General features: G+C 34.2%; 1 annotated feature.

Moving 5' to 3' along the window:
- Nucleotides 346–527: a silencer, noted in NCBI's record as "fragment chr6:69073362-69073543 (GRCh37/hg19 assembly coordinates)". NCBI's record gives its function as "represses an EF-1alpha promoter that drives an FKBP-Casp9 reporter gene in an ReSE screen in K562 erythroleukemia cells {active_cell/tissue: K562}" and the evidence as "EXISTENCE:reporter gene assay evidence [ECO:0000049][PMID:32094911]".

Here is an 18,856-nt window from a genome sequence, read left to right on the forward strand (position 1 = left end):
TTCCGTCAGTGTCAAAAGGCAGGAAATTCTCTTTTATATTAATTACTTATGTTTTAATATGGAAAGCTTACACAAAGTGAGCTAAACTATTAGTAGCCATTCACTCATGGGCTGCTTATTGCTATTAACTTTTCTCAATAAAAATTATTAGAGAAGGCCGGGTGTTGTGGCTAACGCCTGTCGTCCCAGCACTTTGGGAGGCCGAGACGGGCGGATCACGAGGTCAGGAGATGGAGACCATCCTGGCTAACATGGTGAAACCCCGTCTCTACTAAAAATACAAAAAAATTAGCCGGGCGTGGTGGCGGGCGCCTGTAGTCCCAGCTACTCTGGAGGCTGAGGCAGGAGAATGGCGTGAACCCGGGAGGCGGAGCTTGCAGTGAGTCGAGATCATGCCACTGCACTCCAGCCTGGGTGACAGAACAAGATTCCATCTCAACAACAACAACAAAATAAAATAAAATTATTAGCTAAGTTTCACTTTTCATTTTCAGACTAGCCATGTACAAAAATAATAATTTTTTATTTTACTAATTTGTTTATCCTCAAAATAACTGGGCTTATACACACGGTCAGTTGAAAAATGTGATAAAGCATTTTTAAGGCCTCATAAATGTCCAGCATTTAGTGGGACCGATGCTTAGTGCATCTTCTCAAACATCAGTATGTACCGCTCTAGGGAAACGTGAGGATCTGAGACTACTAACTACTTTAGTAAAACTGGGAAAAAAATCAACTCATTATTTCATATGCATGATTAATTTATTTGCTTTACCCATAAGATCTCTGGATAGCAAGATTGAAAGAGAAAATCAAAAGCTGTGTGTGTGTGTGTGTGTGTGTGTGTGTGTGTGTGTGTATACATTTGATCTTCTGCCATCTCATGGGATTTGTCTTAGTTCTCATGTCAGAGCTCTTTATCTAGGGAATTGGGTAGGGTAGAAATAGATGATAGTTAAAGACTTCTTGAGCTAAAAAAAAAAAAAAAAAAAAAAAAACTCTAATGGGCTGAAAGTAGAATTTTCAAACAACTAGAAATTATCCTTACCTAGTCTGTGGTGGTATGAAGAAATCTTTAGCTGAGAGAAGAAAAAGCAGATCAATCCAAGAACGTTGAGATTCCTCAGGGTATTGGTCTTGGGATGTTCTCTGTGCATGGTGGAGACAAAGCCCTCATCAGCAAATAATGCTGCATATTGAAGCATGCTGTGGTACAGACTGTACACTACACTTTTCAAACTAAAAAACAGATTAAAAGGTTACTGTGGGAAAGTTTGTGGGTAGTAGAGTATGATTGGCTTCTTTGGTAATCATTAGTGCTATATGCCAAATGCAGTTGGTTTTCTTCCTGAGTACAGGGTAGGATTTTATTTTGCTCCCTTTCTTGTGCCCGCATGACTTGGTTTGGGCAACGTATAATATGAAAGGAAGTGCATGTCACTTTCTCATGGAAGCTTTCAGATTTGGTGAGAGACTCAATATGCTTTTTGTTTCCCTCTGCTGTGGTGCCTGGAAACATTCCAGCAGCCTGGGTCCTACAGTGTTCACCATGCAGATCAAAGCCCTCCAATTGGCCTGAAATGAACATGTAGAATGAGGAAAAAAAAAAGAGTTTCTGGGGTTTGTTGCTACCACAGCATAATCTGACTAATAAAAATCCTTGGGTAGTGCCCTCAACAGCATTTGAAGACGAGCTCTTTTTAAAAATTGATACATAATTTTATACATACTTATGGGGGATATATGATATTCTGTTATGTGCATAGAATATGTGATTGTCAGGTAAGGGTATTTGGGATATCCATCACCTCAAGTATTTATTATTTCTTTGTGTCGGAAACATTTTAATTCCTCACTTCTAGCTATTTTGAAATACACAATACATTGTTGTTAACTATAGTCGCCATACTCTGTTATCAAATATTAGAACTTATTCATTCTAACTGTATGTTTATACCCATTAACCAACCTCTCTTCACCCCCCCTACCCCCACCCGCATACACTTCTCAGAATTTGGTATCTATTATTTTACTTTCTGTCTTCATGAGATGAACTTCGTTATCTTTTGAGTGAGAACATGTGATATTTGTCTTTCTGTGTCTGGCTTATTTTCACTTAACATAATGACCTCCACTTCCATCCATGTTGCTACAAATTACATGATTTTATCCTTGTTTATGGCCAAATAGTAGTCCTTTGTATAAATTAATAGACCACATTTTTAAGTCCAATTGTCCATTAATGGACACTAGGTTGATTCCATAGCTTAGCTATTGTGAATAATGTTGCAATAAACATGTGAGTGCAGGTATCTTTTTGATATACTAATTTATTTTCCTTTGGATTAATACCAGTAGTGGAGTTGCTGGATCATGTGGTAGTTCTATTTTTATTTTTTTTGAGAAATCGCCATACTGTTTTCCATACCGGCTGTATTAATTTACAAACCCACTGATACCTTATGAGTTCTCTAAATCCTTGCCAGTATTTGCTAAATTTTTTGATTTTCAAAAATAGCCATTCTAACTGGACTATTACTAAAATATTTCATTATGGTTTCAATTTGTATTTCTCTGATTAGTGATTTTGAGCATTATTTTTCCCATACCTGTTGGCCATTTGTATGTCTTTTGAGATGTGACTATACAGATCATTTGTTCATTTTTAAATGGGATTATTTGTTTTTTTGCTGTTTGATTTCCTCGTATATTCTGGATATTAGTCCCCTGTCAAGTGAATAGTTTGCAAATATTTTCTCTCATTGAGCAGGTTGTCTCCTCATTCTGTTGATTGTTTCCTTTGCTGAGCAGCAGCTTTTCAGTTTAATATGTCCAATTTGTCTATTTTTGTTTTTCTTCCCTGTGCTTTTGAGGTCTAATCTGTGAAATCTTTGCCTAGACCAATGTCCTGAAGTGTTTCCTCCATATTTTCTTCTAGTAGTTTTACAGTTTTACAGGTCTTACATTTAAGTCTTTAATTCATGCTGAGTTGATTTTGTATATGGTGAGAGATGGGGTCCAGTTTCGTTCTTTTCCATGTGGGTATCCAGTTTTCCCAGCACCATGTAAGAGAGTGTCCTTTCCCCGGTGTATGTTCTTGGAAACTTTATGAAGATCATCTCTTGTTGTGTATTTGGTAGCAGAAGAATTCAAGGAAATGATGGCTTACCTATAGATTAAGAGTATGGTTCTTCTTTTAGAATTTTTTGTGACATATGGAACCCTGCAGAGAGAGGGAGCCCTAATGGTACCCGAAGTTGAAATTCTTACATTGGGAAAGGCTTTGATGTAATTTCAGTATAAAATATATTTTAGGTTTGTGCACTAAGAATACCACCTGTTACATATACTTTGTGTCTGGAAATCTCTGCAGCCCAGTGTACTAGACATGCTCCATCAACTGACTTGTTCACTTTAACTTTTTTTTAATTTATTTTAATTTTTCTTTATTTTTTGAGACATAGTCTCACTCTGTCGCCCAGGCTGGAGTGCCGTGGCATGATCTTGGCTCACTGCAACCTCCGCCTCCCAGCTTCAAGCAATTCTCTCCCTCACCCTCCTGAGTAGATGGGATCACAGGTGTGCGCCACCACACCCGGCTAATTTTTGTATTTTTAGTAGAGATGGGGTTTCACCATCTTGGCCAAGCTGATCTTGAACTCTTGACCTCATGATCCACCCACCTCAGCCTCCCAAAGTGCTGAGATTACAGGTATGAGCCACTACTTTGGCTTCTAAGATGAAAACTTCAGCTCATACTCCATGCCCTCCTCCTCAGAAGAGCTATTGTATTGATTGTATAAGTAAATATAACACTAGAAATAAGATCACTAAATTATTGAATGTGTAAAATGTGCCAAACAATATGTTAAGCAGTTTACATGGATTTTCACGTATGTTCCTTTCAATAAATATGTGAGGGAGATACTAACCTCATTTACCATTTCAGAAACTTGGAAATTGTAAATGTTTAAAACTAGCCCCAAGCCACACAGTTTGTAGGTGGCAGAGCCAGAATGACAGCCCAGGTCTTCTTGATGCCAGTGCCATTGCTCTGTATAGCCCTCATTAATCACCTCTCACCTGGGTTACTGGAACAATTTTCTAACTTCTGTTTCTGCTTCTCTGATTTTCTTCTTTATCCCTCCAATTCTAGATAGAATGATTAATAAATACTACAAATACGACCTTGTAAGTTCTTTTACTAAAATTGTACTGGCTTCCAACTGCTTTTTACATAAAATATAAACTCCTCATTGTGCCACATAAGGCCCTCAAGGACAAGGGCCCCGTCTCCTTCTCCACATAAATTTTCCACCACTTCTATCTTTCTATTTTATGTTCTTCTAATAGGAGAGCACCTTTGCTCTATTAATGCTACTGATTGTCACCTTGCTTTATACAGTGTCTTCCACATGCACTGCTGGGGAAGATCTTTCAAGGGAAGACCTATATACCTTTACACCTAAATCCAACAAAAATTTAACAAGACAACATAGGTGTAACTGTTCCATGGAAACTTCTGCAATATTCCCATCTGGATTATAAGTTTCTGTTCTCCCATGGAACTTTATGCAGGGCCCTATCATTGTATACATAATTTTATGATTTAAGTATATGAGCCCTGAAATCAGAGAAACTCATGAGTTTAAATATCAGCTCTGACACTCTTTAGTTAAATATACTTTCAACAGTTATTTAACCTCTCAAAACCTCGGTTTCATAGTTGGTAAAAATAATGTAAGCATAGAGCTTCCTGTACAAATTTTTATTTTGTTATGTTTGTATTAAATAATGAGTTTAATATAATGCCTTAGTATAGTCAGAGTTCAATAAAATATTTGTTGATATTTGTATTTCACTCACCACATTATAATATGATTACCTAAATATCTGTTTATGAACTCTTTAATGCCAGGAGGCATAATTTTTCTTCTTTATAGACCAGTGTCTATTGTAGTAGACCCTAGTAAGCATTTGTTATTTGAATAAATATGCAGATAAAAAAAGTAGAGTGACATTTAAGATGCTTAAACTCAAAGGCATTAATATATATCCAGGTTTCCTTGGGATGCCAGAAAATCTTAAAAATACAGCTCTGGGTTTTGGACAAGAGGAGAATAGAATCTACTCCTAAGACTGTATGAAAGGATAGAAGAAAAATATGAGGGCTGCTGAAATAACAAAAGGAGTCCTGGATTGTTCCAGTATACACAATAAAATAAGTGATCTGCTGTAACTGAGATTAAGGAGGAAAAATTGGAAGTTTATAGGCTGAAGAGATTTGGAATATTTTTGAGAGCAATAAGCCAAGGAGTCAATGAGGGAGAAATATCAGGCATGCTGAACAGTGGTCAGGGCCAGCTTACAGCTGGTTTGTATAAATATTAAGGAGGCCAGGTCTGCTTGGCTATAGCTCTTTATCCAGCATGGATGCAGGCATAAAGAAAGTGGCCTTCATAGTGGATCTCCTGAAGAAAATTATCAAGGACAAGGGCAAGGGCAACACAAAGTAAGAACAAAGATTAAATAGTCAGGATATAGAATTATACTGTAATATTTTACAATGGACCAATCAGGTCCAAAGCTATTAGCACATATTAAGATTTCTGTAAATATTTGTTGAAAACTTTTAATGAAATGAGTAACAGATATGCCATTTCTGGTCATATATTTCATGCATAAAGCCCAACATAATGAATAGAATATTCCTTTCAAGATATAATATTCCTCCTGAGGAGATAGTATTTTGTGCTTGAATTACAATATTTCTCAATTCTAGTTTCCAAATATACTCAGAAAAAAATTAATGGAAATAAGTAAATGACTCTACAAATAATGTCAAGCTGCCTTTCTTTGCTTAACTCTGTTTAAAGAGTATTAAATTTAAAGAGAAAAGAATGGCTCATGATGAAATGAATCATCACTTGAATTTTTTTAGGATCACAACCGCAATAAGCATAATGAATTCCAGTCAGTTTAAAGAATTAACCTGTATAAACATCTATTGTAATATGAGTAACACTGACAGGCTCTACAATAAATTAATATAGACATATGTTGTTGTTGTTTTTCCCTGACTTCATTTTAACTTGTATGTGCCTTTAATGGCATAATGGGAAAGGGAGATGAGAAGGGAGAAGATAATAAAGAAGAAAGGAATAACTAAGGGAAGGAGGCAGTATAAGCAAAACCTGGTATTTGGGAATTTAAATTTAGAGAAAAAAAATGAGCTGTTTCTTTTGGACTATTTATTTTGAATCTTCCAAACTCATGTGTTCATCTAGAAATGACCTTTTGTAGTACCATAGGATAGTGTGACAGAACAGATTATAGGAAGAAGTAACCATAAGTGGATGGCTAGGATTAGGAGTGGGAAGGTGGGGTTTAAACACTTAAACCCACTTAAGCCAGGCACAGAAAGACTAACATCATATGTCCTCACTTATTTGTGGGATCTAAAAATCAAAACAATTGAACTCATTGTCACAGAAAGTAGAAAGCCCTTCCCAGAGAATGGGTTGTATGGGAGGAGGGAATGGTTAATGGGTACAAAAGAAAATAGAAAGAATGAATAAGATCTACTCTTTGATAGTGCAATGGGGTGACTATAGTCAATAATAACTATATATTTTAAAACAGCTTAAAGAATGTAATTGGATTGTTTGCAACTCAATGGATAAATGATTAAGGGGATGGATACACCATTCTTCAATATGTGCTTATTTCACATTGCATGCCTGTATCAAAAAATTTCATGTACCCCATAACTGTATACACCTATGTACCCACAGAAATTGAAAAAACAAGAACAAAATTAAATATATATATATTTCAATGTGTGTTTATTATATTAGCAAACACAAGTAATCAGTAAATTATAAAATAGTGGGAGATGTACCAATTCATTAAAAAGCCACAAGCCCTTGAAATATAAGTAAGTAAAGAAATCAGGCAGGAATGCAGAGAAGAAAACTCGTATAGGTCATATGTACTTAGCTTATCACAAACATTTTCTGTCTCGTTCATTCTTTGAAAGGTCAAATTTCTCAAACTATCTGATCCAATTTTTCCACCCACACTGACTGGCGATAATAGTGTCTCCATTAAAAATTAGTTATTTAAACTGTCAGTAATTTATAAGAAAAAGAAAGGTGTAATTAGCATCATATTGCCAATAATACCAGTTATTATGTCTTTTTAAAATGAAGATGGTGCTAGTGATAAAAATCAGTAGAATGCAGGGGTTCAACTTTTTTCTGATAGAGTAAAATTAATTCATTAATACCTCTAAGATACTCATGATGGCTATTATGTCACTCTTCTAGATTATGGAGAAAAAATATTAATATGATATAGACCTGGTCTTGCAAACAATCTGGTAGAGGAGAAAAGTATGTTAATCATATGCAACATTTTAGGTGCCTTATGAAGACAGTGATAAAGTATCTAAGAAGAACAGAGACCAAAATAACTAAATCAGAAAGTTTGTCTAGTACCCTTCTACCAAAACATACAATTCTATTTGTACTTTGAATGATAATGGAAAAGAAGTAGGAAAAATGTCCTGAGGATAGGGCCTACACTATGGCAAGACCTGCATCCAGAGAGTAGGAAACTTATGGAAGCTATCTTTCAAGTAGAAATGAACAGGAATTGATCAATTACAATGGGAGGAGCAAGGAGGAGAAATAAGCCAGTGTTGAGTGTTCTCAGAAATTTCATAAGAAAGAATAAACTATTAATATATATTGAATAAATTTAAAAAATTCATCTAATAGTCTCTATTTGCTTTCCCCACTAATTGACCTTTGGCCAAATCATTATGGATATCCATAAGCATAGAATTTACCTGGATTTGATGCAGAGTGGGTGAAATGAATGACTGTTCAGGTTATGCATGTTGGATTTTCTTAACAGGAGATTTTTCAAATTTATTTCCAGTTGTATCCAATCTGATAATTCAAATAGTTCATATAGGGCAACATTGAGTGCCTTTTAAAAAATGTTTTGTTTACTGCTAAATTTCTACCATCTGGCTAGTACATGGCACAAGGTGGACATTTAATAATTACTTTTGAATAATTGAAGAGAGAATGTGCCATGAAAACAAAGCATCAAGTCAAAGCCTGTAACAGAACAACAATCTTGATAAGAAAGCCAGTGAGGAATGAGTTTAGGGAAAGTGGACATGCATGAGGTTAAGGAGGTAGCCAGCGACCTGATCTTGAGGCTTTTGCAGGACATGGCAAAACATTTAAATTTTGTTCTAAGGGGAATAGAAAATTTTTAAAAAATTTTGCACAAGTGGTGCATGGGTGTATGGCATCATCTAACTCTGTTTTTTTTAAAGATCATTCTGTCTGTTGGTTGAAGATTACACCATCTGCATGAGAGACTTGACATGAGGAGAATAATTAGAATGCTATTTCATTATCTTAGCTTCGTTGAAAGTGATTATGGTAAAGATCATAGCTACACTTTGAAGGTAAACCAATAGGAATTATTGACAGATAATTGTGCATGTCAAGGACAGGTAGGATCAAGAATGGCTCTTAGGTGATAAGTTACCATAAACTTAGTGTCTAACAACAACATGTATTTATTATCTCACAGTTTCTGTGGATCAGGAATCTAGGCACAGCTTCACAGGGGCCTCTTCTTAGGGTCTCATGAGGGCTGAAATCTTTATCTGTAGGCTCTGGGGAAGAGTTTGCTTCCAACCTTACTCACGTTGTAGGTAGAATGCATTTCCTTGTGGTTGTAAGATTGAACACATGAGTTTCTAGCTGCCTATTGGCTTGTGTTGTTCCTCATTACCTGGAGGCTGCCCTCAGCTTTTTGCCATAGGAGTTTCCAAAGCATAGCTGCTTACTTTTTTAAAGATAGCAAGGAGAGTCTTTAAAGAAAGTCTGTTAGCAAGATTATATAACAAAACCATGAGAGCGATATCTTGTCACCTTTTCCACATTCTACTGGTTAGAAGAAAGTCACATGTCTGCCCCACCCATCAGGAAAAGGGATTAGACAAAGTCATGAATACTAGAAGTTAGGGGTCATGAGGGGACGCTCTTGAATCTGTCACAGGTGGAAAAGTGGTTGGGCCTCTAATGACAATATTATACAACGGAACTGACTCTGGGATCACCTACTATGGAACTTTACCTTACATATGACTTTTAAAAATCCTTACTCATTAAATCCACTTTTGGTAAGGGGTTCTGCCACTTCCAGCCAAAAGTATCCTGTCTGACACAGGGACATGAAAGATTAAGAACTTCTCACTTGAGGGTCTCTATCTTCCCTTTGTAGTAGAGGAGGATGATATATTTTGGCTTTACCATAAATGAAAGTTTAACATAGCTGCTACAGTGAGTGGGAAAGGGGGATAAGTTAGGATCACATAGAAGGAAGTTCAGGTCATGTTTAGAGACCAGGTGACATTACAAAGTCAGTATTTAATTACAACAATCTGAAAACTTTGCATTTTTACCCTCTGTTCAACAACCTTGATGTTAGATAGAACATCAATGAAGTAAGAAACTGTCAAAGTATATCCACATCCTGCATTGCATAGGATTTGGAAAATTAAGAAAATTCCTCTTAAGGAACTGAAAGTGAAGCCATCTTCTTAGGAAAGAACCAGGTGTTAATAAATAGCAGTAGAGGAGGAAGCATTCTGTAACATGTTAAGGGGTTTTGTTTACATGAGATTGGAGTTGTTGGGTGGAGTTCAAAGGTCTGGTTTGTGTTGGAAGATCTCTTTATTCAGAAGAGATAGACATATGGGGACAACCTTACTGAAGAGAAGACATTATCAACCACTACTGGATTTATCAGATTTGTTGCTTTTTACAAAACTAGACTTCCAGCAGATATAGAGATATTTGAAATCCCACATTACCGCTATATCTTGCTTTTGTGACAGTTTCACGATCTGTATTAGGGAAGCATCTGCCAGACTGAGTGAGCTGTCATCTACTTCCACAGCAGCATCAATTATGGTTTTCTTTCATTTTATCCTCAACCAAATGTTCTCTACTGTGATCCACCCTCAGACCCACGGATTTCCGTTCAGTTGCATATCTCCTTTGCATGCAGGAATACTCCTTCATCACTTGTGTTTCTTCTGCCTTTTTAAGAAAACGATTAAATTAATCCTGTCTTTGGCCACTTCCCTAAAAAGTTTCCATGATGGATATGAAATGATATTAACTGAATTGTGCTAAAATGTCTTTTTTTGGTGGTATGTATTATCTGTTCTCAGTATTTTTATCTTCACAGCTAAGCCCCTTTGTATGTTTCCTGATTAGATTTCTGATGATTCCAAATGACATGCTGGAATTTGGCTCTTTTACCATTGTTTGCTTTATTTTCCTTTCTATTTCTTGCCTTTTATTTTCTATAGTATTCTACCTTGCAAAACCTTTCTTTTAAGAGAGTCAATCATTTAAATTTTTAAAGTGACTTGTACAGATTGGTTTGAATCATGACAAATGTATTTTCCCTAGTTCTCAGGAGATGTCCTCTTTTATACTTCCAATGGCACTTATTCTTGCTAAAGCTGTTTTTATTAAACTATCCTTTAACGTATCTTAGAGATGAGTTTATTTAGAGAGAACTAAAATGTCTTTGATCATAAGAATTCCAGTAGTCACCAAATGTGGTGGATTCTAGGCACCCAACAAATCTTCTTACTTTAGATACAGCCTCAGGGAACCTAATCCTGCCTTCTGCACAGAGTCAAACTGTTATAGGTTAGATTCGAGGTGGGTCAATCAGTTCAGCCCCTTCTCAGGAATACAGATAGGAATTTCATGGGAGATGAGGCAACCTGATGAACAATGCCTTGTTTATAACTACTTAGGAACTCCTTATCCCTAGAGCTGTTTTGGTAACTGCCCTTACAGAGACTTTGTTACTTCATTCTTCCTTTGCCTTTTGAATACCATATAATGTTAAAATAAATCTCCTTGGTGTGTAAGTAGGCTAAAGTCAATTGCTTCCTATTGCATGTACCGAAAATAACCTTAAAAGATACAATCAATTTGTTAGTGCTACATGGAGAACTGCTCAATGCCCAAGGATAATACATTTACATTTAAGTACTTTTTAAAAAATCTCTGCCATAAATAAAAGTTGAATCTGAACAAAAAAACTATAGGTAAATCAGTGAAAGTACATTATCACTTCTGGAAAAGGAAAAGAATGTATACAAATCATTCTAAAACTGAATTATAACATAAAAGCATACTTCAGATATGTTTTGGCTATGAGCTGGATTATAAAGAGTTATGCTTCATTTTTTAATGTGTCACAGAATTCATTTAATTACTAGTTATATCATGTGTTTATTATTCAAGAACAAAATTTTTATGTGCTACATTTCTGTGACAATTCCTTTTTTTGTGTGTAATTTACTGAGAGAAAAATAAAAGGAGATAAGATTAATCCATCTCTTATATTTACTCCAGTTCAGTCTATAAAATAAAATGAAGGTGGTGGAAGAAGGCAATTATAAGATTTAGTTTTCTCTCCAAGAAGCTCAAAGTACTTATCTGTCGTTATTCAATTGATTTTGTAGGATCCCCTTGAGAGTTGAGGAAAACAGCTATTTTATAACCAGAGAAACTAATGCAGAAACACCACATGCTCTGTTAACTATAAGAGCAGGATTAGGAATCACAACTTCTGAGTTTGTAAAATATTGTTAACCCATTAAATTGTTCTGGGTTCCATTGTTTATACAGCTTCTTCCTATTAACTGTGCTTCCAATGCAGCAATGAAGTAAATGGCTAAACATTTTATGAACCTTCTGGTTTAAGGTGAAAGCAATCAGTTAGTGTCAATTAACTTCATTAATGGATCAACCCGTGTCTTTACAACTCTTTACAAAAGCATGTGGATCACTGTTAAAATAAAACATGCATATCGATGGGACAAAAACACTGTAAAAGTTGCAGTCACTTTTTGTAGTATTCTAACAAATGTTTTATGTGTGTATTGTGTCTTTCAATGTCATCTGACTTTGATTTTCTACATTTACCATCCACTTCACCCAAACTGTTTCTTCTCCATGAGGGGAACATGACTTTTTTCTTTTACACTTATTTTCTTTACATTTATTATTATTTTTTAAGTTATGCCATTTCACCTGACATAATATCATCTCTTTCATTTAACTCTATCCAAATTCTACTATCCTACCTTCTCTGTAATATCTTTCCAGGAACTTAAATTATCCTTCTCACTTTTATATTCAAGTCCCATTTTTGTCTGTTATTAGGAATATTAGTATTATGCATTACATTACTTTTCCTTTGAACATTTATTAAGCCTTCATTGTTACTTCCTGTACTTACAGCTCTTCTTCCCAAAGAGATGAAAATCTTCCAAGAACAGAAAAAATGATTTACCTTATTCTAGGTCAGATAATAATTAGGGCAGTATTTTGCACTTATCAGGTGCTTAATAAATGAACAGTTAAAAGGCGTTGATTAATAGCATGCTTAAGTGGATTTGAGCTTTGGAAAGCAGAGGAAACTTTTTAGAATTCTTGATATGTCCCTTTAATAATACAAATTGTGGGAATTCCATATTGTTATATCTTAAATGAAGAATGTGTTGAAAAAAAACAGGAAATATTTTGTAATTTTTCTAACACTAAGATGTCATTAGCAGTTTAGATGGTATATATAGGCTAAATAGCACAAACACTAGAAACACCTTTACATTAATATTAATATTGATTGTCGTAGTTGAAAATAGGATGTCATATTTGTTGATTGGGCGTTTTAATCTATTGTCTATTTAGGCATTCATTGGTTTCTGTATGAACAGACAAAGGCTATCCCAAAACCTACCTTTAAAATCTTATTCTCTACCTATGGTTTTGACCACACTCATCTACACTTGTTATTACCTATTGTCTTCCTTATTGTAATGTTGATAGTGATCAACTTCACGATTTTAACCCTTTGTATACAAGTGCTTACTCCAGCACCTGGACCACCTCATTTCTCTGAACTTTTTTCTATATATTTCATCATCTTTCTTTACTCAAAAGCCTACACATTCAATTAAAAAAAATCTCTTGAGTTATTAGCAGCAGAGTACTGGGATACCTGCTGCCAGTGACTGATTATGTCAAAATATTTCAGAAGGCATAACATATGAATCATTTTATCAAGCTATTGTGCTCTAGGATTTTATCCTAAGGAAACTATCATAATTAGGCAATAATTTTAATATACAAAGATGTTCACTATAGCATTATTCAAAATGTCAAAAATACTGAAAATTGAAATGGGGAAATAAATATTTTGTATTCACAAATATGAATCAGCATATTAACTTAAAGAATACTGTAAAAATATATCATTTTAAAGTTTTAAGTGATAAATTACATATATTTATGGGGTAAAATATGGTGTTTCGGTATATGTATACACTATGAAATGGTCAAATCAAGTTAATTAACATATCCATCACCTCAAATATTTATCATCTTTGTGCTGAGAATATTTAAACTCCTCTCTTTTAGCTATTTTGAAGAATACAATACATAATTATTGACTGCAGTCACCATACTCTGCAATAAACCACCATAATGTATTCCTTCTATCTAACCAAAACTTTGTACCCCTTGACCAGTGACCCCTTTCCCCACATCCTCAGCCTCCAGTAACCACCATTTTATATTCTACTTTTAAGAATTTGACTTTTTTAGATTCCACATATAAGTGAGATCTTATGGTGTTTGTTTTTCTGTGCCTAGTTTATTGCACTTAGCAGAATGTTCTCTAAGTTCTTCCATGTTTTCACAAATGACAGACTTTCCAGCTTTCTTAAGACTAAATAGTATTCCATTGTACATATATATCAGTTTAAATCCATTTGTCCATTGGTGGTCACTTCAGTTGTTTCCATATCTTGGTTATTATGAATAATGCTGCTATGATCATGAGAGTGCAGATACCTCTTCAATGATACTGATTTCAATTCCTTTGACTTAAACCCAGAAGTGAGATTTCTGGATCATAATTTTATTTTCAGTTTATTAAGGAAAAAACATAAAAGCTTTCCAAAATGGATGTACTAATTTAAAATACCAACAGTGTGCAAGGGCTCACCTTCCCACAGTACTCATCAATACTTATCTGTCATCTTTTTTATAATAGCCAATTTAACAGGTATGAAGTGATATCTTATTGTGCTTTTAATTAACTTTTCTGATTAAAGATGTTGAGCACTTTTTCCTATATCTTTTGGCCCTTTGTATGTCGTCTTTTGAGAAATATCTATTCAAGTCCTTTGCCCATTTTTAATATGGTTATTTGTTTTCTTGTTATTGAGTAGTTTGAGTTTCTTAGATTTTTTTATATTAGCCCTTTGTCCAATGTATGATTTGCAAATATATTCTCCCAATATATGGCTTGTCTCTTCACTCTGAAATGTTTCTTTTGCTGTGCTTAAGCTATTTAGTTTAATGCAATCCCATTTGTTAGTATCTGCTTTTGTTGCCTGTGCATTTGGGCTCTTATCCAAGATAATCACTGTCTAACTAATGTCATGAAGCTTTTCCCTTAGGTTTTCTTCTAGTAGTTTTACATTTGCAGGTTTAAATTTTAAGTCTTTAATCTATTTTGAGTTGGTTCTTTTATACTGGGTAGGATAAAAATCAAATTTTATTCCTCAGCATGTGTATATCCAATTTTTCCTAGCACCATTTATTGAAGAGACTGTTTCTTCTGCATTATCTTTTCCACATTTTGTGTTCTGGCACCTTTGTCAAATATCCATTGGCCACAAATATGTGAGTTTATTCCTGGGCACTTTATTCTAGTCCATAGGTTGATTATGTACATTTTTATACCAGTGCCATGTTGTTTTAATTACTAAAGGTTTGCTTGTTTTGCTTAAGATGGCTTTGGCTATTCAAGGTCCTTTGTGGTGCCATACAAATTTTAGAATTTTTTTTTTCCTATTCCTGTGAAGAATGACATTGTAATTTTAATAGGGATTCAATTGAATCTGTAAATAACTTTGGGTTGTATAGACATAATAACAGTATTATTTCAATCCATGAATACAAGATATCTTTTCACTTGTGTCATCTTCAATTTTTTATCAAAGTTTCATAGTTTTTAGTACACAGATCTTTTCGTTCCTGGGTTAAATTTAATCTAAAGTAATTTGTTTCTTTTAATGCTATTATAAATAGGATTGTTACTTTAATCATTTAGATAGTTTTTTTTTAGTGTATAGAAATGCTTCTCACTTTTAGGTGTTGGTTTTGTATCCTGTAACTATTATGAATTTCATTATCAATTCTAAACTTTATAGAGTCTCTAGGTTTTTCTATATATTGGTTTATGTCATAAGCAAACAGAGATAATTTCACTTCTTCCTTTTCTATTTGAATGCCTCCTATTTCTCTTTCTTGTCTACTTACTCTGGGTAGTATTTCAAAGTACTATATTGAACAAAAGTCGTGAGAGTAGGCATCCTGGAGTTGTATCTAACTTAAGAGAAAAAGTGTCAACTTCTCATTATTTAATATGATAGCTGTGGGCTTGTAATAGCCTTTCTTGTGTTGAAGAACATTCCTTCTGTACCTAACGTGTTGAGAGTTTTTATCATGAAAAGATGTTAAATTTTCCCAAATGATTTTTGCATATCTATTAAAATGATTATATGGATTTTGTTATTTATTATGTGAACATGGTGATTTTTTCCATATATATTAAAATGATTATATGGATTTTGTCATTCTGTCAACTTGGTGAATCAAAATTATTTTTTAATTTTTCAAAATTTTGCATGTACATAGTAGGTTTATATATTTGTGGGGTACAGGAGATGTTTTGATACAGGCATGCAATGTGAAATAATCGTATCATGGAAAATAGGGTATCCATCCCATCAAACATTATTGTGTTACAAACAATCCAGTTACACTCATTTACTCATTTATTTTTAAATGTACAATTAAGTTATTGACCATAGTCACCCTGTTGTACAATCAAATACAGTGTGTGTTACTCATTCTGACTAAATTTTTTGTACCCATTAACCATTTCCATCTCCCTCCCAGCATCCCTACTACCCTTCCCAGCCTCTGGTATTGATTTCTCTACTCTCTATGTCCATGAGTTCAATTGTTTTAAATTTTAGAACCCACAAATAAGTGAGAACAGGTGATGATTGTCTTTCTGTGCCTGGCTTAGTTCACTTGACATGTTAATCTCCAGTTCCATCCATGTTGTTACAAATGACAGGATCTCATTCTTTTAGTAAGGCTACAGAATACTGCATTATGTATATGTACTGTGTTTTCTTTATCCATTCATCTGCTGATGGGCACTTAGGTTGCTTCCAAATCTTAACTGTTGTGAAACAACAGTGCTACAACAAACATGGGGTGCATATATCACATTAATACTTGATTTCTTTTCTTTTGGGTATATATCCAATGGTAGGCTTGCTGGAACTAGCATAGCTCTGTTTTTAGTTTTGAAGCTCTGAACTCTTCTCCATAGTGTTTGTACTAATTTACATTCCCACCAATAGGGTAGGAGGGTTCCTTCTCTTCTCCACATCTTTGCCAGCATTTGTTATTGCTTGTCTTTTGGTCATAGGCCATTTTAACTGGAATGAGATGATATTTCATTGTAGTTTTGATATGCATTTCCCTGATGATCAATGATGCTGAGCACCTTTTCATATGCCTGTTTGCCCCTTGTTGTCTTCTTTTGAGAAATGTCTGTTCAAATTTTTTGCTCATTTTTTGATCAGATATTAACATTTTTTCCTATAGAATTGTTTAAGCTCCCATGCAGTGAGCCGAGATTGCACCACTGAACTCCAGCCTGGGAGACAGCGAGACTCCATCTCAAAAAAAAAAAAAAAAGTAGAATTGTTTAAGATCCTTATATATTCTGGTAATTAATCCCTTGTTAGACGGATAGTTTGCAAATATTATCTCCCATTCTGTGAATTCCATTTTGATTTGATTTTTGAAAATGGTGAGAGATAGGGGTCTAGTGTCATTCTTCTGCATATGGGTATCCAGTTTTCTCAGCACCATTTATTGAACAGACTTTCTTTTCACCAGTGTATGTTTTTGGTACCTTTGTCACAAATCAGTTCACTGTAAGTATGTGGATTTGTTTCTGGGTTCTCTATTCTGTTCCCATTGGTCTGTGTGTCTGTGTTTATACCAGTACTATGTTGTTTGGGTTACTATAGCTCTGTACTATAATTTGAAGCCAGGTAATGTGATTCCTCCAGTTTTGTTCTTTTTGCTTAGTATAGCTTTGGGTATTCTGGGTCTTTTGAAGGTCCATACAAATTTTAGGATTTTTTTTCTATTTCTGTGAAGAATCTCATTGGTATTTTGACAAGGATTGAATTAAATCTGCAGATTACTTTGGGTAGTATGGACATTTTAACAATACTGATTCTTTCTATACATGTTCATAAACATGGGTTATTTTTCCATTTCTTGTGTCCTCTCAATTTCTTTCATCAGTTTTTTATAGTTTTTATTGTAGAAAGCATTCACTTATTTGGTTCATTCTTAAGAATTTTATTTGTGGCTATTTTAAGTAGAATAACTTTTTAATTTTTGTTTTTCACATTGCTTACTATTGGTGTATAAAAATGTTACTCATTTGGGTACGTTAATTTGGAATCCTTCAATTTTCTGAATTGGTTTATCAATTGCAATAGTTTTCTTGTGGAGTCCTTAGGTTTCTCCAAATGTAAGATAATATTCTTTGTAAACAAGAATAATTTTCTTTCTTTCTTTTCAATTTGGATGCCTTTTGTTTGACTTCCAGGATGAAAGTAACCATCCTTGTCATGCTCTGGAACTTAGGGGAAAGGCTTTCTTTTTTCCCCATTCAGTATGATACAAGCTGTAGGTCTCTCATATATGGCTTTTATTACATTGAGGTATGTAGCTTCTATACCCAGTTTTTAAGGGATTTTATGATGAAGCAATGTTAAATTTTATCAAATATTTTTCCAGCATCAGTTGAAGTGATCATATGGTTTTGTTCTTTTATTCTGTTTATATGATGTATCACATTTATTTACATATGTTGAGTCATCCTTGCATCCCAGAGATAAATTCCACTTGGTCATGATGAATGATCTTTCTGATGTATTGCTGAATTCAGTTGGAAAGTATTTTGTTCTGGATTTTTGCATCAATATTCATCAGGGATATTGACTTGTAGTTTTCATTTTTTCGATGTATCTTTGTTTGGTTTTTATGTCAGATTAATACTGGCTTTAAAGAATGATTTTGGAAGTATTCTCTTCTCTTCTATTTTTCAGAATAGTTTGGGTAGGATTGGTATTAGTTATTCTTCAAATGTTTGGTTGAATTCAGCAGTGAAGCCACTGGGTCCTGAGCTTTTCTTTACTGGTAGACTTTTTATTATGGCTTTGGTCTTGTTACTTGTGATTGGTGTATTTAGTTTTTGGATTTCATCCTGGTTCAATCTTGGTATATTGAATGTGTCTAGGAATGTGTCCATTTCATCCCAATTTTTGGAATATAGCTGCTCTTGTTTAGCCACTGATGATTTTTGAATTTCTGCAGTATTAGTAGTAATGTCTCCTTTTTCATTTCTGATTTTATTTATTTGTATCTTCTTTCTTTTTCTTAGTCTGGCTAAAGGCTTTCCAATTTTATTTAACTTTTCAAAAAACCAACTTTTTGTTTCATTGATCTTTTCCATGGTTTTCTTCATTTCAAATTTACTTTTTTCCCCTTTGATCTTTATTACTTTTTTCTTCTACTAATCTAGGGTTTCATTTGTTGTTGCTTTTCTAGTTCTTGAA

This window comes from Homo sapiens, chromosome 6, assembly GCF_000001405.40.
Source record: "Homo sapiens chromosome 6, GRCh38.p14 Primary Assembly".
In the NCBI taxonomy this organism is placed as follows: Eukaryota; Metazoa; Chordata; class Mammalia; order Primates; family Hominidae; genus Homo; species Homo sapiens.